The sequence below is a fragment of the Homo sapiens genome, chromosome 2 (assembly GCF_000001405.40).
Source record: "Homo sapiens chromosome 2, GRCh38.p14 Primary Assembly".
Lineage (NCBI taxonomy): Eukaryota > Metazoa > Chordata > Mammalia > Primates > Hominidae > Homo > Homo sapiens.
The window spans coordinates 226,918,706-226,945,007 of NC_000002.12; the positions used below are offsets into that span (position 1 = coordinate 226,918,706).

The following is a 26,302-nucleotide window of genomic DNA, read 5'->3' on the forward strand; positions in this document are numbered from 1 at the left end:
TTCATCTGTTGATGGATACTTAGGTTGCTCCCAAATCTTGGCTACTATGAATAGTGCTACAGTAAACATGGGAATATAGATATCTCTTTGATATAATTATTTCCTTTCTTTTGGGCATATACCTAGCAGTAGAATTGCTGGATCATATGGTAGCTCTACATTTAGTTTTCTGTGGAACTTCCAAACTGTTCTCCATAGTGGTTGTACTAATTTACATTCACACCAAAAGTGTACAAGGGTTCCCTTTTCTCCATATCCTCGCAAGCATTTGTTATTGCCTGTCTCTTGCATAAAAGCCATTTTAACTGGAGTGAAATGATGTTTCATTGTAGTTTTGATTTGCCATTTCTCTGAGGATCAGTGATATTGAGAACCTTTTCATATGCCTTTTTGCCATTTGTATGCCTTCTTTTGGGAAATGTCTATTCAGATCTTTTGCACAGTTTAAAAATTAGATTATTAGGTTTTATCCAATATGTAAGCAGCTATTTGAACTCCTTATATATTCTTGTTATTAGCCTCTTGTCAGATGGATAGTTTGCACATATTTTCTCCCATTCTGTGAGTTGTCTCTTCACTTTGTTGATTGTTTCCTTTCCTGTAAAGAAGGCTTTTAACATGGTGTGATCCCATTTGCTGATTTTTGCTTTTTGACCTGTGCTTGTGGAGTATTACTCAATAAATCTTTGCCAATCCAATGTCCTGGAGAGATTCCCCAACATTTTCTTTTAGTAGACTCATAGTTTGAGGTCTTAGATGTAAGTCTTTAATCCATTTCAAATTGATTTTTGTATATGGTGAGAGATAGGGGTCTAGTTTCATTCTTCTGCATATGGATATCCAGTTCCCTCAGGAGTATTTATTGAAGAGACTGTCCTTTCCCCCAGTGTATTCTCTTGGCACCTTTTTTGAAAATGAGATCAACATAAATGTATGGATTTGTTTCTGGGTTCTCTGTTCTCTTCCACTGATCTATGTGTCTGGTTTTATGCCAGTACCATGGTCTTTTGGTTATTATAGCTTTGTAGTATAATTCAAAGTGGGGTTATGTGATCCTTCCAGTTTGCTTCTTTCTGCTCGGGATAGCTTTGGCTATTCTTGGTCTTCTGTGGTCCCATGTAAATATTACAATTACTTTTTCTATTTCTGTGAAGAATGTCATTGGTATTTTGATAGGGGTTGCATTGAATCTGTAGTTTGCTTTGGGTAGTATGGACATTTTAACAATATTGAGTCTTCCAATCCATGAACACGGAATATGTTTCCACTTTTTGTGTCTGCTTCAATGTTTTCATCAATATTTTATAGTTTTCATTGTAGATATCTTTGACTTCTTTGATTAAGTTAATTCCTAGGCATTTTATTTTACTTGTAGCTATTTTAAATATTTGTATTTAAATAAATAAATAAATAAATAAAAACTTGTAAATAAATACTTGTATTTACTTGTAGCTATTTTAAATGGGATTACTTTCTTGGCTTTTCAGATTGTTTGCTGTTAGCATATTGAAATGCTGCTGACTTTTGTATGTTGATTTTATATCCTGCAACTTTCCTGAATTTATATATCACTTTTAATAGTTTTTTGGTGGGTTTTTCCAAATATAAGATCCATACCACCTGCAAACAAAGATAATTTGGCTTCTTCCTTTCCAATTTGTATGCCCTTTATTTATTTGTCTTGGCTGATTGCTCTAGCTAGGACTTTCAGTACTATGTTGAATAACAGTGGTGAAAGTGTGCATCTTTGTTATATTCCACATCTTAGAGGAAAGGCTTTCTGTTTTTCCCCTTTCAACATGATACTAGCTGTGGGTCTGTCATATGTGACTTTTATTGTGTTGAGGTGTATTCCTTCTATGCTCATTTTTTAGGGTTTTTTGTCATGAAGGAATGTTGAATTTTATCAAGTGCTTTTTCAGCATCAGTTGAAATGACCATATGGTTTTGTATCTGTTGATATAGTGTACCACATTGATTGATCTGCTTATGTTAAACCATCCTTGCATCACTGGGATAAATCCCAAATGGTCATAATGAATGATCTTTTTAATATGTTGAATTCAATTTGCTATTATCTTTGCATCAATGTTCATCAGGGATATTGGCCTGTGGTTTTCTTTGATATCTTTGTCTGGTTTTGGTATCAGGATAATACTGGCCTCATAGAATTAGTGTGGAAGTATTCCCTCTGCCTCTGTTTTTCAAAATAGTTTGTGTTGGATTGGTATTCATTCCTTTTTAAATGTTTGGTAAAATTTAGCAGTGAAGCCATTGGGTCCAGGGTTTTTCTTTGCTGGGAAATTTTTTATTATGGCACCAATCTCATTACTTTTTATTGGTTTGTTTAGGTTTTGGGTTTCTTCATGGTTTAATCTTGGTAAATTGTGTGTGTCTAGGAATTTATTCATTTCTTCTAGGTTTTCCAATTTATTGGCATACAGTTGCTCATAGTAGCCTTTAACAGTCCTTTGAATTTCTGTAGAATAGGTTTTAATGTCTACTTTTAATCTCATTTTTATTTGGGTCTTCTCTCTTTTTTCTTAGCCTGACTAAAGGTGTGTTGATTTTGTTTATGTTTTCCAAAGAACAACTTTTTGTCATGAATCTTTTGTATTGTTTTTTTCGTTTCATTTAGTTCTACTCTTTATTACTTCTTTTCTTCTACTATTTTTTCGTTTTGTTAGCTCTTGCTTTTCCAGTGGTTTAAGATGAATCATTATGTTATTTGAAGTTTTTCTACCTTTTAGATACAGGCGCCTATTGCTATAAACTTCCCTCTTAGTCCTGCTTTCACTGTATCCCATAGGTTTCAGAATGTTGTGTTTGTATTATCATTTGCTTCAAGAAATTTTTGAATTTCCTTCTTAATTTCCTCATTAACCCACTGGTCATTTAGGAACATATTGTTCAATTTCCATGTATTTGTCTAGTTTCCAAAATTCCTCTTTTTAGTGATTTCTAATCTTATTCCATTGTGGTCAGAGATGATACTTGATATAATTTCAGTTTTTTTCAACTTTTTAATATACTTTTTTGTGGCCTAACATATAGTCTATCCTTGAGAATGATTCATGTACTGAGGAAAAGAATGTGTGTTCTGCAGCTGTTGGATGAAATGTTCTGTAAATATCTATTAGGTCCATTTAGTCTATAGTGCAGATTAAGTGTTATGTTTCTTTGTTGAGCATCTTTCTGGAACACTTTTCCATTGCTAAAACTGGGGTGTTGAAGTCTGCAGCTATTATTGTATTGGGATCGATCGATCTCTTAAGCTCTAATAATATTTGCTTTATATATCTGGGTGCTCCCGTGTTAGATGCATATATAATTATAATTAATATATCCTCTTACTGAATTGACTGACCCCTTTATCATAATATAATTACCTTCTTTGTCTCTTTTTATAGTTTTTATCTTCAAATCTGTTTTGTCTGATATAAGCATAGCTACTCCTGTTCTTTACTGGTTTCCACTGGAATTAAGTATCTTTTTCCTTTTTTTTTTTTTTTTTTTTTTTGAGACGGAGTCTCACTCTGTCGCCCAGGCTGGAGTGCAGTGGTGTGATCTCGGCTCACTGTAAGTTCCACCTCCCGGGTTCACGCCATTCTCCTGCCTCAGCCTCCCGAGTAGCTGGGACTACAGGTGCCTGCTGCCACGCCCGGCTAATTTTTTGTATTTTTAGTAGAGACGGGGTTTCACTGTGTTAGCCAGGATGGTCTCGATCTCCTGACCTTGTGATCCGCCCACCTCGGCCTCCCAAAGGGCTGGGATTACAGGTGAGAGCCACTGTGCCCAGCCTCTATATGTATTTTCATTCTCTATAGGTGAAATGTGTTTCTTGTAGGCAACAGATCATTGGACCTTATATTCATTCTATTCTGTGTCATTTAGTCTTTTTTCATTTAATGCTATTATTGTTTAGTAAAGATTTACTCCTACCATTTTGTTATTTGTTTTCTGGTTGTTTTGTGGTCTTCCCTTTCCTCTTCCCTTCCTTCCTGCCTTCCTTTTAGTGAGTGATGTTCTCTGGAGGTATGTTTTAATTTCTTGCTTTTTATTTTTTGTGTATCTGTTGTATATTTTTTGATTTCTGATTACCATGAGGCTTGAAATTAATATGACCTTTTTTTAAACTGATAACTTAACACTGATTGCATAAACAAACAAGCAAGCAAGCAAGCAAAGAGAAAATGAATAAAAACTCTACACTTTAACTTTGTCCCCCTGGTTTTTAGCTTTTGTTTCTACTTATATTTTATTATACTGTTTACGTTTGAAAAATTGTTGTAGTTATTATTTTTGATTGGTTCATCTTATAGTCTTTCTACTCAAGATATGAATAGTTTACACACCACAATTACAGTGTGTCCTTTTATTCTGTTTTTCTGTGGCTTACTATTACCAGTGAATTTGTACCTTCAGATGATTTTTTATTGCTCATTAACATCCTTTTCTTTCAGATTGAAGAACTCCCTTTAGCATTTCTTGTAGGACATGTCTGGCATTGATGAAATCTCTCAGCTTTTCTTGGGAAATTTTTTATTTTGCCTTCATGTTTGAAGGATATTTTCGCTGGATATACTATTATAGGATAAATTTTTTTTTCCCCTTCAGCACTTTAAATATATCATGCCATTCTCTCCTTGCCTGTAAGGTTTCCACTGAAGTCCGCTGTCAGAACTACTGGAACTCCATTGTATGTTATTTGTTTCTTTTCTCTTGCTGTTTTTAGTATCCTTTCTTTTTCCTTGACTTTTGGGAGTTTGATTATTAAATGTCTTGAGGTAGTCTTATTTGGGTCAAATCTGTTTGATGTTCTGTAACTGTCTTGTACTTGAATATTGACATCTTTCTCTAGGTTTGGAAAGTTCTGTTATTATCCTTTTGAATAAACTTTCTACTTCTATCCCTCTCTCTCTCCATCCTCTTTCAGGCCAGTAACAGTTTGATTTGCACTTTTAGGGCTATTTTCTAGATATTGAAGGTGTGCTTCATTCCTTTTGTCTCCTCTCACTGTGTGTTTTCAAATAGCCTGTCTTCAGGGTCATTAATTCTTTCTTCTGCTTGGTCAATTGTGATGCATTCTTCAGTATGTCAATTACATTTTTCAACTCCAGAATTTCTTCTTGATTTGTTTTAATTATTTCAATCTCTTTGCCAAATTTGTTTAATGGGAATCTCTCCCTTCAGGGAAGTGGGGTCCCCTCTGGCCCAGCTCAGGTCCAGAAATGCTTTCCAAGAGCCAAGGCCTGGAATCAGGTACCCCAAGAGCCTGCCTGATGCTCTACCCTGCTGTGGCCAAGCTGGTACCTAAGCTGCAAGACAAAGTTCCCTTTACTTTCCTCACTTCTTTCCTTAAGCAGAAGGAGTCTCTCCCCAAAGCCACCATATTGGGAATGTGCTTGGGTCAAACCTGAAGCCAGCATGTCTCTGAGTCTCACCCAGATACCATGGGGTAAGTACTGCCTGTTTACCACAGTGGCCTATTCAGGTCCCTAGAGCCCTTTAGTCAGCAGGTGATGAATCCTGCTAGGATTGAGTCTTTCTCTTCAAGGCAGAAGGTTTTCTTCTGGCCAGGGTGCGTCTAGAAATGATGTCTGGTAACTAGAGCCTGGAATAGGGGCCTCAGGACTCTGCTCGGTACCCTATCCTACTGTGGCTGAGCTGGTATCCAAGTCGCAAAACAAATTTGTCTTTACTCTTCCGTTTTCTCTCCTCAAGCACTGGGAAATAGTCTCTTCCAGAGCTGCGAGTTGCAGTGCCTGAGGTTGGGAGAGGGGTAACACAAGCACTGACTTGGCTGTCCCGGCTGATGTCTCACTGGAAGGCATGTCCCCCAGGTCCACTGGCTCTGAGCCCAGCACAGCACCAGAGCTTACCCAAGAATTGCAGTTCTTGTGACTCAGACTACCTTTCAAGTTTATTTAGGACCCCAGAGCACTTTTGCCCATGGTGTCAGGGCCTGATGGAACTCAGGTTCTGACCACTGGGATGGGCAATTCCCCTCTGGCCTAGGCGGGTCTAAATGCTCACTCCCTGGGTGCTGGCTAAGTTCTGCCCAGTTTTGCTTTCTGGCAGTGCTGAGTTCCAATGGGATGTCCACAATCACTGTGCTCTCCCTCCCCCAAGTACACAGATTCTCTGTCTATGCTACCAGGGGATGGATGAGGAGTGGCATTGGCAATTCAAGACTATCTTTCCTTCTCCCTTCAGTGCCTCTTTCAGTGTTGTGAAGTTAAAACCAGGTACTGTGATCACTCACATGATCTTTGGTTCTTATGAAGGTGATTTTTTCTGCAGATAGTTCTTCAGTTTGGTGTTCCTCTGGGAAGGATGATCTGTAAAGCTTTCTATTTGGCCGTTTTGCTCCACCTCCCTCCATCTCACCACATTTAATGTTGGTAGTGATAACAGACATTTCTATATGCTGCTGATATGAATGCAAATTGGTATAACCTTTCTGGAAAACACATTGGAAATGTATAATCAAGAGGCTTACCTTCAGTGATTCCTTGACTAGGAATCTAGCCTGAGGAAATAATAGAGAGATGGTCCAATATTTGTTTTTAAGTTACTGATTCCCTAATTAAATTTAGTAACAAAAACTTAAATACATTGAAATTTGCACAACAATGTGTGCAAGGGTTAAATCAGTTGTGGTTTCATTGTAAAATGGAAATATTAGGCATCTATTAAAAATAACATTTTTGAAAAATTTAGTGGCATGAAAATATGATTACAACATAATTGCTGAATGAAAAAACGTAAGGCACAAAATAGTATGTACCATATGGCCAGAAATTTATAAAATAAGCCAACTCAAACCAAATATTTTTCCTTAGGAAAAAAAAATGAAAACGGCCTTTGACAAATGTCTTCTTGATTCTTACACTTAGACAATTACAATGGTTTCAAAGGAAAATAAAATTCAAATTAATATAAATTTTTATAAAGCTGCTTCCTTTGCCATTGTTAGTTACTGTATAAGGCACTTCAAGAGTCTTTTTAGACCTGTTTCCTTGAAACTAGTTTCGTGTGCTGTTCAAAACATTCATTCAAAATAAAATTCTGTGGTCAAATAAGCTTGGGAAATATGTAATTAATTGGTTTCTTAATTGCAGAGCTAATTAGAATCATAAGTAGCATACCAGTGTCATTGTGGATATTCAAGGAGGTATGGTTTGCAGTATTTCCCAAATTTATTTGAATGTAGAGTTTGTGTGTTTGTGTGTGTGTGTTTCAGAGGGGAAAGGGAAGAGGAGGAGAGGGAGGGAGGATAGAAGAGAGAAACTAGAATTGTTTGGGCTGAACCCTCTGACAGGTTGGAGACATCCTGTTACTTTGCCTCTAAATCCTTCAATGTGTATCTTTTGAAAAATAAGGGCCATTGGCCAGGTGCAATGGCTCACGCCTGTAATCCCAGCACTTTGGGAGGCCGAGGCGGGTGGATCATGATGTCAGGAGATCGAGACCATCCTGGCTAACACAGTGAAACCCCGTGTCTACTAAGTAAATAAAAAAAAAAAAAAAATAAGGGCCATTGTGCTACTTATCTACAACATCATGGCCACATCAAAGAAAATTAGCAGGAATTCCCTAGTAACACCTACCATTTAGTCCAAATATGAAATTTTCTAATTTTCTCAAAGAGTATGTTTTATAGTCAGGTTTTCAAGGTTCTGATGTTGCATTTGATTATTTCTTTTTAATATAAAAACCATACCGTGCCCTTTTTATGATTTAATTTTTCAGGACACCAGTCTCATTGAATGGTAGGTGTCTTATTATTTCTTTGTGGTGTATTTAAATAGTTAGTTCTGTGTATTTCTGTATATATTGGCACTTACATTTGAGGACTTGATTAATTGGATTTGGGTTACACATTTTTAGCAAGAAAATGTCATAGGTAACACTGTGTTCTTCAGATTGCATCAGGTCAGGAGATACACTGTGTCAAGCCATACCACTAATACCTGGTTACTAGTTTCAGAAAGTGACTGACAAGTCTCTCTGTTGCAAAGGTACATTTTTCCCTTTGCTGTTTGCAAGTTCCACATGAAGTGATACTATGTCACCATATGAATATCCTGTTTCCTAAAAATTACTTGAAAACCTTTCAAGTAATGGTTTTTGTAGTCTTTGGTGATCTTTTTTTACAAGGCTAAATATTAGTCTTGTATTATGCACTTCTGTATAAAAACTGATCACCTATCAGTTATTTCTTTGGGTTCCTTGTTAATATTTTTATTTCTTTAAAATTTATAGTGAAATTTACTCCGTGTGGTGTACACTTATGTGAGCTTTGACAGAAGTATAGAGTGGTTTATCATAACAATCTAGATACAGCACAGTTGTATCACTCCAGAAAATTACCCATCACTCTCCCTTTGTAGTCAACCTACTCTGACCCTTAATCCTCAACAAGCACTGTTCTCTTCTCCATCTCCTTAACTTTGCTTTTTCCAGCATGTCATATAAATGAAATCACACAGTATTTAGCTTTGAGAGGTCGTACTTCTTTCCCTGAGCAAAGTTTATTTGTTATTCATCTCTTTCTATTAACTATATTGATAATTTTTTTTCTTTTATGGTTGAATTATACTCTAGTGTATAGATATACCAGAAGTTTTTTTTTGTTTTTTTGTTTTTTTGTTTTAATCCTTTCACCAGTTGAAGGATATTTGGGTTGATTCCAGGTTTGACATTTATGAATAAAGCTGCTATAAAAATTTACGTACCGGAATTTGTGTAAATATAAGTTTTCATGTCACCTAGGTAAGCACATAGGAGTAGGGTTTCTGGATTATATATGGTAAATTTATGTTTAACTTTATAAGAATCTGCCTGTTTTCCTAAGTGTTTGTACCAGTTTTCGTTCCTGCCGGCAGTATATGAGAGTTCCAGTTGCTCTCGGTTCTCCCAGCATTTGGTATTTTCAGTTGTTTTTATCTTAGCCATTCAAATAGGCGTGAGGTTGCAGTTTTCATTTATATTTCTCTAATGACTAATGATGTTTCTGTTTATCGACTACCTATATATCTTCTTTGCTGAAGTTTCTGTTCCATTATTTTGTCTACTTTTAATTGGATTGTTTGTTTTCTTATCTTTGAGTTTAGGGAATTCTTTATATATTCTGAATAAAAGCGCTTCATAAGATAGGTGATTTGCAAATATTTTCCCTGAGTCTGTGGCTTTTTCCCCCATTCTCTTAAAAGTATCTTTTGTGGCACAAAAGTTTATAATTTTGATGAAGCACAATTTATCAATGTGTCAAGCATTTAGTGTTGTATCTAAGAATCTTTTGATGTAACCCAAGACCATGATTTTCTGCTACATTTTCTTTTAGGAGTTCCATGGTCTTAAAATTTACATTTAGATATATAGCCCATTTTGAGTTAGTTTTTATATAAGATGTGAGGTATGAACCAAAGTTTGTTTTTTGCTTGTGGACTTCCAAATATTTCAGCACCATTTGTAAAAATGACTATCAGTTCTCCAATGAATTGCCTTTGTACTTTTTTCAAATAACAATTGAATATGTTTACATCAGTCTATTTCTGAAAATGTAAAAAACTTGAAGTCATATCAGATATCTTCTCAGACCATTGCAGAGTAAAACTAGAAATCAGTTCTAAAAGGAATCCACAAAACCATATAAATACATGGAAATTAAGCAAATCTGCTCCTTTATGATTTTTGGGTTAACAATGATATCAAGATGGAAATTAAATAATTCTTCAAGATAAATGATAATAGTGACACAAGATATCAAAACCTCTGGGATACAGCAAAAGCAGTGCTAAGAGGAAACTTTATAGGGCTAAATGCCTACATCAGAAAGTCTGAAAGATCACAAATTGACAATCTAATGTCACACGTCAAGGAAGTAGAGAAATGAGAACCAACTAAACCTAAAGCTAGAAGAAGAAAAAAAATAACAAAGATCAGAGCAGAATTAACAGAAATTGCAACAACAACAACAACAAAAAAGATCATGAAACAGAAAGTTGGCTCTTTGAAAAGATAAACAAAATCATAGACCGTTAGCTATCTTAACCATGAAAAGAAGAGAGAAGATTCAAATAAGCTGAATTAGAAATGAAAATGGAGACACTACAACCATCACCACAGAAATACAAAAGACCATTTGAGATTACTGTGAACACCTCTATGCATACAAACTAGAAAATCTAGAGGAAATGGATAAATCCCTGGAAATATACAACCCTCCTAGCTTTAATCAGCAAGAAATAGAAATCCTGAACAGACCAATAACAACCAGTGAGATTGAATCCATAATTTTTTAAATTGCCAACAAAAAAAACCCAGTGCCAGACAGATTCACAGCCAAATTCTACCAGACATTCAAAGAATTGGTACCAGTCCTACTGAAACTATTCCAAAAGACTGAGAAAGAGGGAATCGTCCCTAATTCATTCTATGAAGCCGGTATCACCATGACACCAAAGCCACAAAAGGACATAACAAAAGAATAAAAATACAGACAAATATCTCTGATGAACGTAGATGCAAAAACTCTCAACAAAATGCTAGCAAACTGAATCCAACAGCACATCCAAACAATAATTTACCATGAACAAATGAGTGTCATCCCAGGGTAGCAGGAATGGTTCAACATTCACAAGTCAATAAATGTGATTCATCACACAAACAGAATTAAAAACAAAAACCATATGATCATCTCAATTGATGCATAAAAAGCATTTGCTAAAGTCCAGCATCCATTTATGATAAAAAATGTCAACAAACTAGGAATCGAAGGAATATACCTCAACAAAATAAAAGCTATCTGTGACAGACTTACAGCCAATATCATACTGAATGGGAGAAAAGGTGAAAAGAATTCCCTCTAAGAACTGGAACAAGATAAGGATGCCCGCTTTCACCACTCTATTCAACACATTACTGGAAGTCCTAGCTAGAGCAGTCAGGCAAGAAAAAGAAAGGACGTTCAAATTAGAGAGAGTCAAAATGTCTCTGTTTGCTGATGATATGATTGTATGCTTGGAAAACCCAAAAGACGACTCCAAAAGACTTCCTAGATTTTATAAATGAATTCAGTAAAGTCTTAGGTTATAAAACTAATGTATACAAATCAGTAGCACTGCTACACACCAACAGCCACTAAGCTGAGAATCAAATCCAAAACTCAACCCCTTTTATGATAGCTGCAAACAAACAAAACAAAAAACAAAACAAAACAAAACAAACTGGGGATAAACTTAACAAAGGAGGTCTCTACAAGGAAAACTATAAAATACTACTCAAATAAATCATAGATGATACAAACAAACAAATGTATGTCCCATGTTCAGGTATTGGAAGAATCAATATCATGAAAATGACCATAATGCCTAAAGCAATCTGCATATTCAATGCAATTCCTATCAAGATACTAACACTGTTTTTCACAGAAATGTAAAAAATAACCCAAAAATTCATATGGAACCAAAAAAGAGCCTGAATGCCAAAGCAGTCCGAAGCAAAAAGAACAATCCAGAGGCATCACATTACCTGACTTCAAATTACACTACAAGGATGTAGTAACTAAAACAGCATGGTACTGCTGTAAAAGTCGATACAAAGACCAATGGAACAGAATAGAGAACCCAGAAATAAAGCCAAATACTTAAAACCAGCTGATCTTCAACAAAACTTAAACATTAATTGAGGAATGGACACCCTATTCAATAAATGGTGCTGGGAAAACAGCCACATGCAGAATATGAAACTATCCCTATCTCTCACCATATAAAAAATTAAAATCAATTAGAGACTTAAATCTTAAGACCTGAAACCATAAGAATTCTAGAAGAAAACCTAGGAAAAACTTCCCTGGACATTGGCCTAGGCAAAGAATTTATGACTAAGACCCCAAAAGCAAATGCAACAAAAACAAAAATAAATAAATGGGAGCCAGTTAAATTAAGTTTCTGCATGGCAAAAGAAATAATTATCAGAGTAAAATACAACCCACAGAATGGGAGGAAATATTTGCAAATTATGTATCTGACAAAGGACTAATATCCAGAATCTACAATGAATTCGAACAAATCAACAAGAAAAAAAAATAAACCTGTCAAAAACTGGGCAAATGACATGAATAGACATTCCTCAAAATAATACATACAAATGACCAAGAAACGTATGAAAAAAATGCTTAACATCACTAATCATCAGGGAAATGCAAATTCAAACCACAATATGAGATACTACCTTACCCCAACTGGAGTGGCCATTACTAAAAAGTCAAAAAGCAATAGATGTTAGTGTGAATGTGGGGAAAAGGGAATGCTTATACACTGATGGTAGGAATGTAAATTAGTTACCTCTATGGAAAACAGTACAGAGATTCTTCAAAGAACTAAATGTAGATCTTCCATTTGATTCAGCATTCCCACCACTGATTATCTACTCAAAGGAAAAGTCATTATATCAAAAGAAGTCATTATGCACACCTGCATGCATATGTTTATTGCAGCATAGTTAACAGTTGCAAAGATACGGAAACAAGTGTCCATCAACCAATGAGTAAAGAAAATGTGATATATATACACCATGGAATGCTACTCAGCCATAAAAAAGAATGAAATAATGTCTTTTGCAGCAACTTAGATGGGGCTGCTGGAGGCCAATATTCTAAGTATTAATAACTCAGGAATAGAAAACCAAATACCATATGTTCTCACTTATAAGTGGGAGCTAAACTATGAGTATGCAAAGACATACAGAGTGGTTTAACAGACTTTTGAGACTCAGAAGGGGAAAGGGTGAGAAAGGGGTGAGAGATTAAAAAGCCTACATATTGGATACAATGTACACTACTTGGGTGATGAGTGCACTAAAATCTCAGACTTCACCACTATACAATTCATCCATGTAACTAAAAATTACTTGTACCCCTAAAGCTACTGAAATAAAAAAAATTGAAAATCTATTTCTGGACTTTCTGTATTTTTTTCATTGATCTATGTGGAAATCTGTCCTTCACCAATACTAAATGATTTGATTTCTTTTGCTGTATAATCAATCCTGGAATCAGATAGCATGGATCCTCTTAGTTCTTTTTTAAAATTACTTTGGGTATTCTAGATCTTTTGCCTTTCTGCATGAATTTCAGAAGAAGCTTGTTGATATCTACTGAAAAAAAAAATCCCAAGATTTTGACTTTATAGATCAGTTTGGGAAAAATTAACATCTTAACAACAATGAGTTTTTCAATCCATGAATATGGTATATTTCTCCATGTACTTAGGTCTTCTTTGATTTCTTTGACCAGTGTTTTATAGTTTCGAACATGCAGATCCTCCATATGTTTTCTTAGATTTATACCTAAGTATTTTATGTTTTTTTGTAGGATGAGGTTTGCTATTTTAAAAATATTTTCTCTATCTGTTGAGACGATTATATAGTTTTTCTTTTTTATTAGCATACTATATTACTTTGATTTTCAAAGCCAAAGCAGTTTTGCATTCCCAGGATAAATCTCACCTGGTTGTGCTGTATTACACTTCATCCTGGTAAAAATGCCACGTGCACCTGAAAAGAATGTGTATTCTGCTGTTGTTGGATAGAATGTTCTATTTAAATGTTATTTAGATGAACTTAGCTGATAGTTTTTTCTAGGACTTCTGTATCCCTACTGATTGTCTCCTCGATTTAATGAATTCTGTTAGTATTTTGAATTACCTGTGATAATTATGAGTAATACTGAATACCTATTGTTGCAATAGTTACTCTGGACACATCAAAGACTTCAAATTCCTTTACCATCACCTTATTTTAAGGATGGGCATGATTTACCAGAGGGTTTTTCTCGGTATCTGCTTGAACTTCAGTTTCAGGTCCTCGTTTTGTGCTGTGACTCGGATAGGTTCTCCTTCCACTCCCTTGTCCCTCTCCCGGTAGTATAGTGCAATTACTTGTTGCTCTATGCTTTGTAGTCTGGTGGTGAGAGGCAAGTTATGGGTATGTCCTGATTAAGCCTTAGTCTTAAGCAGTTACTGTGCCCCTGGGTTTGGCAGTATGGCCTTCTCAGTGTTCTTGCCCCTCCCCCGGATTTAGAGGGTATGTTTTATTTTTCTTCCTTTTCCCTTCTTAAAGTTGCCATATGTTTTCACTAGCTCCCCAAGGGAAATGGTGGTTCTGCTAGTCCGTTCTCACACTGCTATGAAGAAATACCTGAGACAGAGTAATTTATAAAGAAAAGAGGTTTAATTGACTCACAGTTCCACATTGCTGGGGAGGCCTCAAGAAGCTTACAATCATGGTGGAAGGCAAAGGAGAAGCAGGCACGTTCTTCGCAGGGTGGCAGGACAGAGTAAGTGCAAGCAGGGGAAATGCCAGAGGCTTATAAAACCATCAGATCTCATGAGACCTCACTCACTATCACGAGAACAGCATGGAAGAAACCGCCCCTGTGATCTAATTACCACCGTGTGGGGATTATGAGGATTACAATTCAAGATGAGATTTGGGTGGGGGCACATCCAAACCCTCTCAGTGGTTTTTGCTCTTCTTTCAGGCATGTAAGGCATTATTCCATAGGCTATCTAGGGGAGAAGGATCTGGGCAGCCTTTCATACATTTCCTGGAGTGGGTGCTGTTCTTTTCCCACAGGACTGTACCATAGTGATAAAGGATGCTTTCTCTGGACTCTCCCTAGTCTCTCTTGTGAGACCAGATGAGGTTCTGAGAAAACCTGAAAGTGGGTGTGAATTTCTTTATATCATAGCCCTCCGGGGATTCTGGGTTCCCTTGCTGGCTTACAGTCAGCCTTTACCAATCTTCTTACAATTTGGCCGAAATTTTTTCACTGGTGTCCAGCAGAGACTGTCCTAGGTGAGGAAGTGCTCATGTGTCATTTTAGATTTATATTTGTTTAGTTGGCTGATCTGCTACCTCAGGTCTTTGATGGGTTCAAGAAAAGTTATTAGGTAGTCTCTCTGAGCCTACTCTGGCTTGGGAGGCTGCCCAATTAAAAAAAACAAGTTAATTTAAGGATTATGTAGCATTTATGTTTTTTATAAGGATGAAAGTGATGCCCTTTCCAGCTTTCTACATCCCAAGAGGAAGCTAGGAGCATTCCTTATTCTTCACTGGGGTTTGAATTATCATTTCTTGCATACTATTTATCAATTTTGTTTTCTTACATAAAGAGGATTTTTCCATCATGAAATAGATAGAAACTATAGTTTCTTTTTAAAAGTCTGGGTAAATCTCTCTTGGATTCCAAGGTTTTAGACTAAGGAGTTAATGTAATAGTTACCAATAATACTGAGTTTTGAAAAGACCCACTAACAAGCTCATTTGGTAGAAAGAATGCCAGTACCCCAGAGAAACATCCAGTACTATTTATAGTCATGCATTACATAATGTTTCGCTCAGCAACAGACCACATATGTGACAGTGGTCCCATAACATTATAAAACTATATTTTTATTATACCTTTTCTATGTTTAGATACACAAATACTTACCATTGCATTACACTTGCTTATGGTATTCACCACAGAAACATGCTATAGAGGTTTGTAGCCTAGGAGCAATAGGCTATACCATATAGCCTATATGTGTAGTAGGCTATGCCATGTAGGTTTGTGTAACTACACTTTATAATGACTGCACAATGACAAAATTGCCTAATGACACATTTTTTCAGAACATATCCCTGTGGTTAAGTGATGCATGACTGTCCTCTCAAACTTTTCTTTAGTTAAATAAATTGTAAGGGTACATTGAAAAATCAAGGTAGCTAGCAACTTTTAACCTCAGAATTTGCTATTATCGTATTTCATAATAGTACCTGGCCATAATTACAAGTCCTAAAGATCATGCCAGGAATAATAATGCCTAAGTTGCCTTTGTAGAAGAAATATTGAAATTTATATTATTTCAAGGGGCTTGAACATTTACTACTACTAACAAAAATCTTGTCTTGTTCTGTTGGCAGTCTCAGCTTTTATAAATGAATCCAAGAGGCAGCTGATACCACAGTAATAGAAAAATTTTGGAAAGGAGCCATGTTTTTCTTTGAGTCAAAAGGCAGATGCCAACTAGGAACATTAGCTCCTTGCATTTTTTTTCTCCCCCAACCCCACATCCCTCTGTGCATAATTTATGCCTTTTTCTTTTCTTTTTTTTTTTAAATAGCCTGCCACCAGGTTAAGTTGGTGCTGGGTACAAAGCTCTGTCCTTTTCAATTTCTATCTGCCAGCGTGCAGCATGGGTACTGGTTGAAGCCGGAAATCCTTACTGACATGTGGAGTAACTTGTGCTTCTTTTCTTAGATTCTTCTGAAAGGCAAATGGCCACAATCACACTTTGGCTGTCTTGTGAAAAAATCAAGCAGAATTGTCACCCCCAGCTCTGCACTACACAGTTGAGGTTGCTAGGTAGCATATATGAAACTATGGTGGAATATACTACAAAAGTCTTGGCTTGAGAATGAAACTGATTGCTGCTTTGTTTCTTAGTCTCTAGATGTAAAAACCGGGAAAGCCATATTAGAAAAAATATTTAGATTTCAAATTAATATGTAGTGCTTTGTTAACAGAGCATTTAATGATCCCTTTGAATCCTGTTTATGAGCAATCATATATTCATAGGGACCAATTGAGATACGCTTTAAGTTAAAAAGGGGAGATAATTTATTTAATTAAGTTGTACATTTTTCTTTTTTCTGATGCAACATCAAGGTATGTAAAAGTAACATTTATTTGTCTTACTGTGTGGCAATTTTTGTAAAGAATTGGATAAATTATGTTGATGTTCTTTTCATCTTTGATGGTGTGTTACAAAGAAAAAACGATGGGAATTTCAGTGACCTGAGTTTCATTCCTAGCATAACCATTAACTAACTTTATTTGTGCTGTGAGTCACTGAATCTGATCAGATCTCAGTTTTATTTTTTTTTTTTATAATGAAGGAATCGAATTGGTTATGCTTCAGAGTCTCTTCCAGTTCCATGATTCTGAGGAGAACATAGCTAAAAAGAGATGGGAGTTTTGGGAGATGTCAGGAATGTGAGTTTTTGACATACAGGTCTCAGGGCTTACAGATGAAAGATCTCTGAAAGATAAATTCAAACAGCTATATAAAGCAGATCTAACTTGATAAACACATGTATTAGATGGTAGTACCTTATTCAGTTGCGTGATTATACAAGCCTTTATTGGCCCAGTGCAGGCATAATGCAATTGGCAATTTTTAATGTATGCAAATTTTCACTGCTGCCTTGCTTGGCATAGCAGAAACATTATAGCCAGGACAGAGATGTACGACTAATTCTGTGTGACCACTTAACTTCTTTTTTTTAAAAAGTAATTTGGTATGTTCTCCCCCAGGAAAACTTTCTATGTAATAAAAAAGTACCATCTGCCAGATTGTCTAAAAGCAATTTCAATGCAAAACAACACTTGCTTTAGATTACTGATTCTTACTTGCTGCTGTGTGTATTGAAGGTTTTCATTTCAGTGAATAAAAGTTTGATATTTGAGAATGTATCTAGATGTGAAATTTTACAACAGATTGTGCTTATATCTAGATTGTGGTTATATCTACATTTACAGTGCTATAAAATTGTACTTATATCTTAGATTGTACTTATATCTACCTATACTTTTTCAAATCTATGAAATTAGGTTCAATAATTTAAAATATTAACTGAAGCCCAGCCATTGCTTTAAAAAAGAGAGAGAGAGATACATGGAATTTAAATGTTTGGGAAACTGACCTTACTAGTTATCTGTGAATTAATTTATATGTAATCTTTTCTCTACCACCTACCCCCATAATAATCATTTATTGAAAGGCATTATTTGGATGCTGATGAGAAGATTTAACAATAAAAGCGTAAAGAAAAATGTAATGAATTAATTCTACCCATATCCCCCACAACTGATGGAGACTACGTTTTGGGCTACCAAATCTTAATGATTTCAGAAATATTTCTTTGCACACTCATGATGTTGCTCAGTACCGTCATTCATTCTGCTACTCAACAGAACCTTATTTGAGCCCTTCATATGTGTCAGCATTTTAGGCGGTTAAGTACTGTAGGCTATAGAAATGAATAAATCTTGTTCATTACTATCAAGGTAAAAATATTCTTCTTTCTGCCAAATGACAAGCGATTTAAATGACCTATTTCAGTTAAGCTAAGCAATATATTAGATTTAGGAAAGAGATATAGTAACTTTTGACTTCAAGTGAGGTCATTGCTTTACTTATCAATATGTGACATTCTCTACTTCAGCAACCATGATTCCCTAAGTTATGAAAGAATTTACAGAAAACGAAGTTGATTATAATACAGTGATTTAGATACTCAAGTTATTCATATAATTTTTAGCCTCAGAAGTTTTTGATGTGTATATTCTGTATTTAATGAGATCACATATAATTGAAGAAAACTTACTTTCTAGGCCTGATTCACAAACTCTTGTGATTTTTATAAAAATGTATTAATTTGGAAAAGATACATCAGACAGTACTTTACAATAGCAATCAATCTTATGTTCTCATTCAACAAAACTTGAGGGTGTGAACAAGTTTTTATACTATGTATCTGTACTAAAAAATAAAATAGTACCCGCTTTTTGAGCTGCAGACACTAGACTTTGTTTTATAAACTCAATAGTTGATATTTTCAGTGAATAAAATTTTGTTCTTTTTTAATTTGAGCCTTTCTAATTCCTTTCTTTTTTTAACTTTTATTTTAAGTTCAGGGGTACATGTGCAGGAAATGCAGGTTTGTTAAATATGTAAACGTGTGTCATGGAGGTTTGTTGTACAGATTATTTTACCACCCAGGTATTAAGCCTATAATCCACTAGCTATTTTTCCTGGTCCTCTTCTTCCTCTTGCCCTCCACCCTCCAATAGGCACCATTGTGCATTATTCATCTCCGTGTGTCCATGCGTTCTCATCATTTATCTCTCACTTATAAGTGAGAACATGCGGTATTAAGTTTTCTGTTCCTGCGTTAGTTTGCTAAGGATAATGGCCTCCAGCTTCACTCATGTCCTTGCACAAGACATCATTTCGGTTTTGTTGTGGCTGCATAGTATTACATGGTGTATACGTACCACATTTTCTTTATCCAGTCTATCATTGATGGGCATTTGGGTTGATACCATGTCTTTCCTATTGTGAATAGTGCTGCAGTGAACATACACGTGCATGTGTTTTTATAATAGGACAATTTATATTCCTATGGGTGTATACCCAGTAATGGGATTGCTGGGTTGAATGGTATTTCTGTTTCTAGGTCTTTGAGGAATCACCTCAGTGTCTTCCACAATGGCTGAACTAATTTACATTCCCACCAACAGTGTAAAAGCATTCCTTTTTCTCCACAATCTCGCCGGCAGCTGTTATTTTTTTACTTTTTAGTAATAGCCATTCTGACTGATGTGAGATGGTATCTCGTGGTTTTGATTTGCATTTATCTAATGATCAGTGATGTTGAGGTTTTTTTCATAGATTTTTCACCACATGTATGTCTTCTTTCGAAAAGTGTCTTTTCATGTCCTTTGCCCACTTTTTAATGGGGTTGTTTTTTTCTTGTAAATTTGTTTAAGTTCCTTATAGATGCTGGATATTAGACCTTTATCAGATGCATAGTTTGTAAAAATTTTCTTCCCTTCTGTAGTTGGTTCACTTTGTTGATAGTTTCTTTTGCTGTGCAGAATCAGAAATGATAAGGGGGATATTGCCACTGACCCCACAGAAGTACAAACAATAATCAGAGAATATTATAAATACCTCTATGCAAGTAAATTGGAAAATCTAGGAGAAATGGATAAATTCATGTACATACACCCTTCCAAGACTGAAGCAGGAAGAAATTGAATCCCTGAAGAGACCAATAACAAGTTCTGAAATTGAAGCAGTAATAAATAGCCTACCAACCACAAAAAGCCCAGGACCAGACGGATTCACAGCTGAATTCTATCAGAGATACAAAGAAGAGCTGGTACCATTCCTGTTGAAACTATTACAAAAAAATGAAAGAAAAAAAAAACGGACTCCTTGCTAACTCATTCTATGAGTCCAGCATCATCCTGATACCAAAACCTGGCAGAGATACAACAAAAAAGGAAAATTTTAGGCCAATATCTTTGATGAACATCAATGCAAAAATCCTCAACAAAATACTGGCAAACCAAATCCAGCAGCACATCAAAAAGCTTATCCATCAGGATCAAGTAGGCTTCATCTCTGGATGCAAGGCTGGTCCAACATTTGCAAATCAATAAACATAATTCATCACACAAACAGAACTAAAGACAAAAATCACTTGATTATCTCAATAGATGCAGAAAAGGCTTTCAATAAAATTCAACATCGCTTCATGTTAAAAACTGTCAATAAACTAGGTATTGAAGAAACATACCTCCAAATAATAAGAGCCATATATTACAGACCCACAGCCAATATCATACTGAATGGGCAAAAGCTGGAAGCATTCACTTTGAAAACTGGCACAAGACAAGGAAGCCCTCTCTCACCACTCCTATTCAACATAGTATTGGAAGTTCCGGCCAGGGCAATCGAACAAGAGAAAGAAATAAAAGGTATTTAGGAAGAGAGGAAGTCAAACTATCTTTGTTTGTAGATGACATGATCCTATATCCAGAAAACTCCGTCGTCTCAGCCCAAAAGCTTCTTAAGCTGATAAGCAACTTCAGCAAAGTCTCAGGATACAAAATCAATGTGCACAAATTGCTAGCATTCCTATACACCAACAACAGACAAGCTGAGAGCCAAATCACGAATGAACTCCCATTCACAGTTGCTACAGATGCCGAGGAGTACAGCTAACAAGGGAAGTGAAGGACCTCCAGAGGGAGAACCAGAAACCATTGCTCAAATAAATCAGAGAGGACACAAACAAATGGAAAAGCATTCCATGCTCATGGATAGGAAGAATCAATATCATGAAAATGGTCACACTTCCCAAAGCAGTTTATAGATTCAATGCTAGTCCCATTAAACTACCATTGACATTTCTCACAGAACTAGAAAAAAATTACTTTAAAATTCATATGGAGCCAAAAAGGAGCCCAAATAGCCAAGGCAATCCTAAGCAAAAAGAACAAGGCTGGTGGCATCACACTACCCAACTTCAAACTATGCTACAGGGCCACAGTAACCAAAACAGTATGGTAGTGGCACAAGAATAGACACATAGACCAATGGAACAGAATAGAGAACCCAGAAATAAGACTGTGTACACCTACAACTATCTGATCTTTGACAAAACTGACAAAAGCAATAGGGAAAGGATTCCCTATTTAATAAATGGTGCTGGGAGAACTGGTTAGCCATATGTGGAAGACTAAAGCTGGACCCCTTCCCTACACCTTATAAAAAAATCAGCTCAAGATGGATCAAAGACTTAAATGTAAAACCAAAAACTGTAAAAACCCTAGAGGAAAACCTAGGCAATTGTTGGGATTCGATCAGGCTGGTGCAATACCTCAGGCAGTACCATTCAGGACGTAGTTATGGGCAAAGATTTCATGATGAAGATGCCAAAAGCAGTTGCAACAAAAGTGACGCTTGAAAAAAGGATCTAAAAGAGCTTCTGCACACCAAAAGAAACTATCTAATTGTACGCATCAAACATGTCTGTAACATTTTAAAAGGCTTTGTCTTAATATTTATATCTTCAATTATGAATTGTCTCTTTTGGTATTTATAAAGAGCCACGTTGTTAAAAATATTAGGTGTATAACTGCCATTTAAGTCTTGGGAAGGGATATATTACTAAGATCATTTGCTTAATTTATTTGCTTGTGTGTGTGTGTGTATCTCATGACATGATTATATGCCCACAATTATATATGATTATTATAATTCATTAAAAATTTTAATTAAAAAGTAATTCAAATTGTTTCTAAAGTAGATAGATGATGGAGAGTGAGATAGGCAGTACTGTTTTCAAATAGAACTGTAATATGCTAGCACTGAAAGCAAACTTAGAGGTCATCATATCTGACACGTTGGTTTCAGATCAGGAAACAGAGAAAACAAGAGGCTTAATTCTCTGTCACAGTATACTGGCCCATTAACTGTGACCAGGATTACTATTGACAGTGTCCTGCCCTAGGAATACAGATGTGAAGTAGGTTGGTTCCCTAGGTTGGTCTGTGGGCAGCCTGGGAGTCAGAACCTCTCTGGAAAGTGCTAGATTAGACTCACATTTTCTTTTTCCTTTTTTTTTTTTTTGAGATGGAATCTCGCTCTATTGCCCAGGCTGGAGTGCAGTGGCATGATCTCGGCTCACTGCAACCTCCACCTCTCAGGTTCAAGCAATCCTCCTGCCTCAGCCCGCCTAGTAGCTGGGATTACAGGCATGCACCACCATGCCCAGCAAAGCTTTTTTGTTGTTGTTTGTTTGTTTGTTTGTTTTTAGTAGAGATGGGGTTTCTGTTGGCCAGGCTGGTCTCAAACTCCCGATCTCAGGTGATCCACCCGCCTCAGCCTCCCAAAGTGCTGGGATTACAGGCGTGAGCCACCCCGACCGGCCTGGACTCACATTTTCTAGGGCTCCCATGAGTCTCCCTAGAGCTGAACCTCAAGTGCACTTCTCCATCGGCCTTCAGCCTTCTGGGCTTGACTGCAAATGGACTCTCAGCCCTTTTCCTGCTGGCAGGGGCAAGTCCACCTGGCCTTTGGAGGTGTAGGAGACAAGTAGGTGATGAAGTGTGAGAAACAGTTCTGATATATGTGTGTTAACACTTGTTATATGCGTGCTGTGATGAGCGTGCAGTTCGGGTTTTGTTTTGCTATGGGAATTGACTTTTCTAGAAATCCCACCTGAATTCCAAGTAGTCCCAAGGTGGACCATGCTGAGAGCCTGAGAGAGATGAAAATGGTACTTGAGCTCATCTATTCTGGTCTTTTAGATGTTGTCTAGCATTTGTTTTGATTTTGAAAGTAATATTTATACACTATGGAAAATACAAACCAGCAAGAAGTCAAAAAAGTAATCTATAATTTCACCAAACATAGAAAAGCCACTTCGCATTTGGGTTATATCCATGCACATACCCATAACACAGGCACCTAGAGGAAAGCACTGTAAATATTTTGGTGAAATTCCTTCCAGGTTAATGAGTATTAGGTGGTAATGACTATGCTGAGAAGATTCACTTACCCACGCAGAACCCTATAAAATAAATATTTTAAATTATTTTCATTGTTTTAGATTGTGAGGCAGAGGCACAGAGAAATCAAATGACTTTTTCAGGGTCACATTCTAAGTGGTAAATATCAGATTAGAGGGCCAGATGTCTCTATTCCTAGTTGGGACACTTTTTACGTTATACAATATTATAGCCTCCTCAGAAAAAGTATATCTAGGCTGCTACTGAATTGTCAGTTAACTAAGTAGAGATTAACATGGTTTTCTTGTAAGTCTGTAGCCTGTCATATAATTGGCCCATGTAACTTAGCTGGAGGATGTTTGTATTCTTGGAGTTAGATTGGCTGTCGTGATCATCTTTTTTTTTTTTTTTGAGACAGAGTCTCGTTCTGTCACCCAGGCTGGAGTGCAGTGGCATGATCTCGGCTCACTGCAAGCTCTGTTTCCCGGGTTCATGCCATTCTCCCTGCCTCAGCGTCCTGAGTAGCTGGGACTACAGGTGCCCGCCACCACACCCGGCTAATTTTTTGTATTTTTAGTAGAGACAGGGTTTCACCGTGTTAACTAGGATGGTCTTGATCTCCTGACCTCATGATCCACCCGCCTTGGCCTCCCAGAGTGCTGGGATTACAGGCGTGAGCCACCGTGCCCAGCCGTTGTGATCATCTTGAATTCAGAAAACTGAAAACTCAGAGGTATGTGTGGCCACTATTGATAATTCTTTGCTAAATTAAAAAGACTGCATTATTTACAGAGATAGCAATGACAATTATCTTACTTTTGTCTTTATCTATTCATATATGTTTAGCTAAGTTTTTTTTGTTTGTTTGGTTTGGATTTTTTTTAATTTTTAAATATTAGTGACATTTGAATTAAGGATATTTGCATTGTTAATTTAAATAGAACTTAATTTGTCTTTAATAGTTTTCCTTTTAGAAAAGAAATGATTCATAATAGAAAAGAATAAATGTGCTTGCATTAAGTGTGCCTTAAGACATCACAATTTTATGTTGAGCTATTTCCCATTACTCCAGTTACTTATTAGTGGGAATTATTCACATGAGAATTTCCGCTGTTGTCCGCTCTGCCTCTCTTAAACAATCTTACAGTTATACCCATTCTCCCATCCATTATATTGTGTTGTGTTGCTGGTGAGAAAAACCAAGAGTCATATGTTGGTTTCCATTTATTATACAGTCACAAACAGCCTCAAGGTGGTCTAGTGTCATCTCATGGCAGTTCTCCAGTGATTCAAAACTATAATCGTGTTGTACTTAGTTATGGAGAGCCAGATGTGAGAGTCACGTATTTGTGTATCTTCACTAATCTCAATCAGAGGACCAAAGATCTCCTTAATAGATACCTGGCCCAAATTGTGCAAAAGTATAAAGATTACTATAAATATTAAACTGATTAAAATTACACTCTAATTATTTGCTTTGGAAAAATTGCAGATGGCCTGAGTGTGCAGTCATAGGAGACAGGTGAAACAAATCATGATATGAGGTGACTCTTGAATCATTGCATCGGGATTCTTTACAGATCAAACCAGAACAATCCAAAGCCCAGTAGTTTTTGATTTTCAACTCAATGAGTCTAAAAGGGAACCACTTGCTTCTGGCTAGCGTGATGCTAAAATAAAATGTAGCCCATGGACATTACAGGAGATAGTGTTTAATAAGTGTACTCTAGAAGTGACATCTATATAGAACACCTACTCTCTTCATTGTGTCTTTAAATAAGCTGGGTCTCTGGGGGTTAGTAAGGCCCTTCTTTTGCACACTGTGCTATGACAAAGATAAATTTTAAACCTCAAGTAATTTACTATTGTCTAGAGCATGCTTTTTGGAGAGGAGGGAAATAAGTCCCTGACTTACATAACGCAGGCCTAGTAAGGCCTATTTTGCATATAACTTTGAGATTGTGACATTTGTCAGGTTATGCTGCATTTCATCCCCCTTTGGTAGCCTTCATTATTTGCTCATTGTTATTTTAAAGTTTTATGTATTACAAAACCACATAAACAGTGCTTCTTGGTCTGTAGGCCCACCTGTGCAGTGGACTTCTGGATTTCTCTGTGTGCTCTGAGGAAGGGATCCAAGTGGCCATTGTTGACAGGCCATTGGCCTGTGTTGACAGCTTGTTTCTGTTATGCCTTTGCTCAGTATAGTCTTGCTGGTGGTAGCGACAGGGGGAAGTGAAAGACCACTGAGTGCCTCTTAAATCAGTTGTCATTTTGGCAGATTCAATCTAAACCAAGGATGACTTCCATATGCAATGGCTGTGCAGGATGTTTTGGCCCAAGCAAATAATACTTAATCAGCAGTGTGGTTCATCTTATTACTCTAAGGAGAAAATAACCTACTACCAAATTCTACTCTATTGTAGATAGGATTTTTTAAAACGAAAATAAAAACATCTGCTGTTTTGTAGCTGCTTGAACCTGAGGCTCTGTGCCCCTAGAGGAGCAGCGGTTGTACAATTGCTGTGCGTTCTGTGTCTCTTAGACCTTGCCACCAGGCTAGGGGGACACTGTCAGAGTTAATAAGCAATTAGGACGTTCTGTCCTGTCAATTAACTGGCAGAATAATGAGACCGCAGGAGCACTCTCCTTAAAAATGCCGAGACTTGTGTTCTGAAAAGCGTGTCTTTCTCTGCTGTTTGCAGTTACACGAATAGACAACTACTTAACACTTAAAAAAATACAGTGAAAATTATACCTACAGCAAACAGAAAAGAGAGGTATACAAATGGGATATCATTCACTCTAAACTCAGAATTCATAGATTTTCCTCCTGAGTGGCTGTAGTGATATTATAATATTTTCTGTCACCTTATTTGGCTTAAAGATTGACAGAATACTTAGGTAGTGAACATCCTTTGTTGTATAAATCAATGTTTAAAGTCTAAGTTTTGGACAATCTGGGTATTGATGCCAAATTTGAATTAGTGAGTTCCTGGCCATGGTCTATTGATGGATTTTTGTTTCCCCTTGAATGTGATGAGACCTTAGTGAAGGATTTTCATAGAGGAGCGAGGGGAGCAAAGAAAATAGATAAAAGCCCAGGAATAGGGAGACAGTCTGTTGGAGGAACTAGGTTGGTTGTGGTTACAATGTATTTTT

The 26,302-nt window shown here is 36.5% G+C and overlaps 1 protein-coding gene across 37 annotated transcripts in view; it reads left to right on the forward strand.

Moving 5' to 3' along the window:
• The window catches only part of RHBDD1 (rhomboid domain containing 1), a 199,052-nt gene that overhangs the window by 118,547 nt on the left and 54,203 nt on the right, over nt 1-26,302 (forward strand). For 5 of the 37 annotated variants that reach the window (XM_047446002.1, XM_047446001.1, XM_017005094.2 and 2 more), the window contains one exon: nt 5,364-12,961. The exons of 31 other annotated variants lie outside the window; for them this stretch is intronic. In XM_047446002.1, coding sequence (XP_047301958.1) covers nt 5,364-5,437 — 74 coding nt within the window. In that variant the 3' untranslated portion in view covers nt 5,438-12,961. Of the gene's footprint in view, nt 1-5,363; nt 12,962-26,302 lie in introns of those variants that run through there. One more of the 37 variants, XM_047446005.1, reaches the window with a different exon arrangement.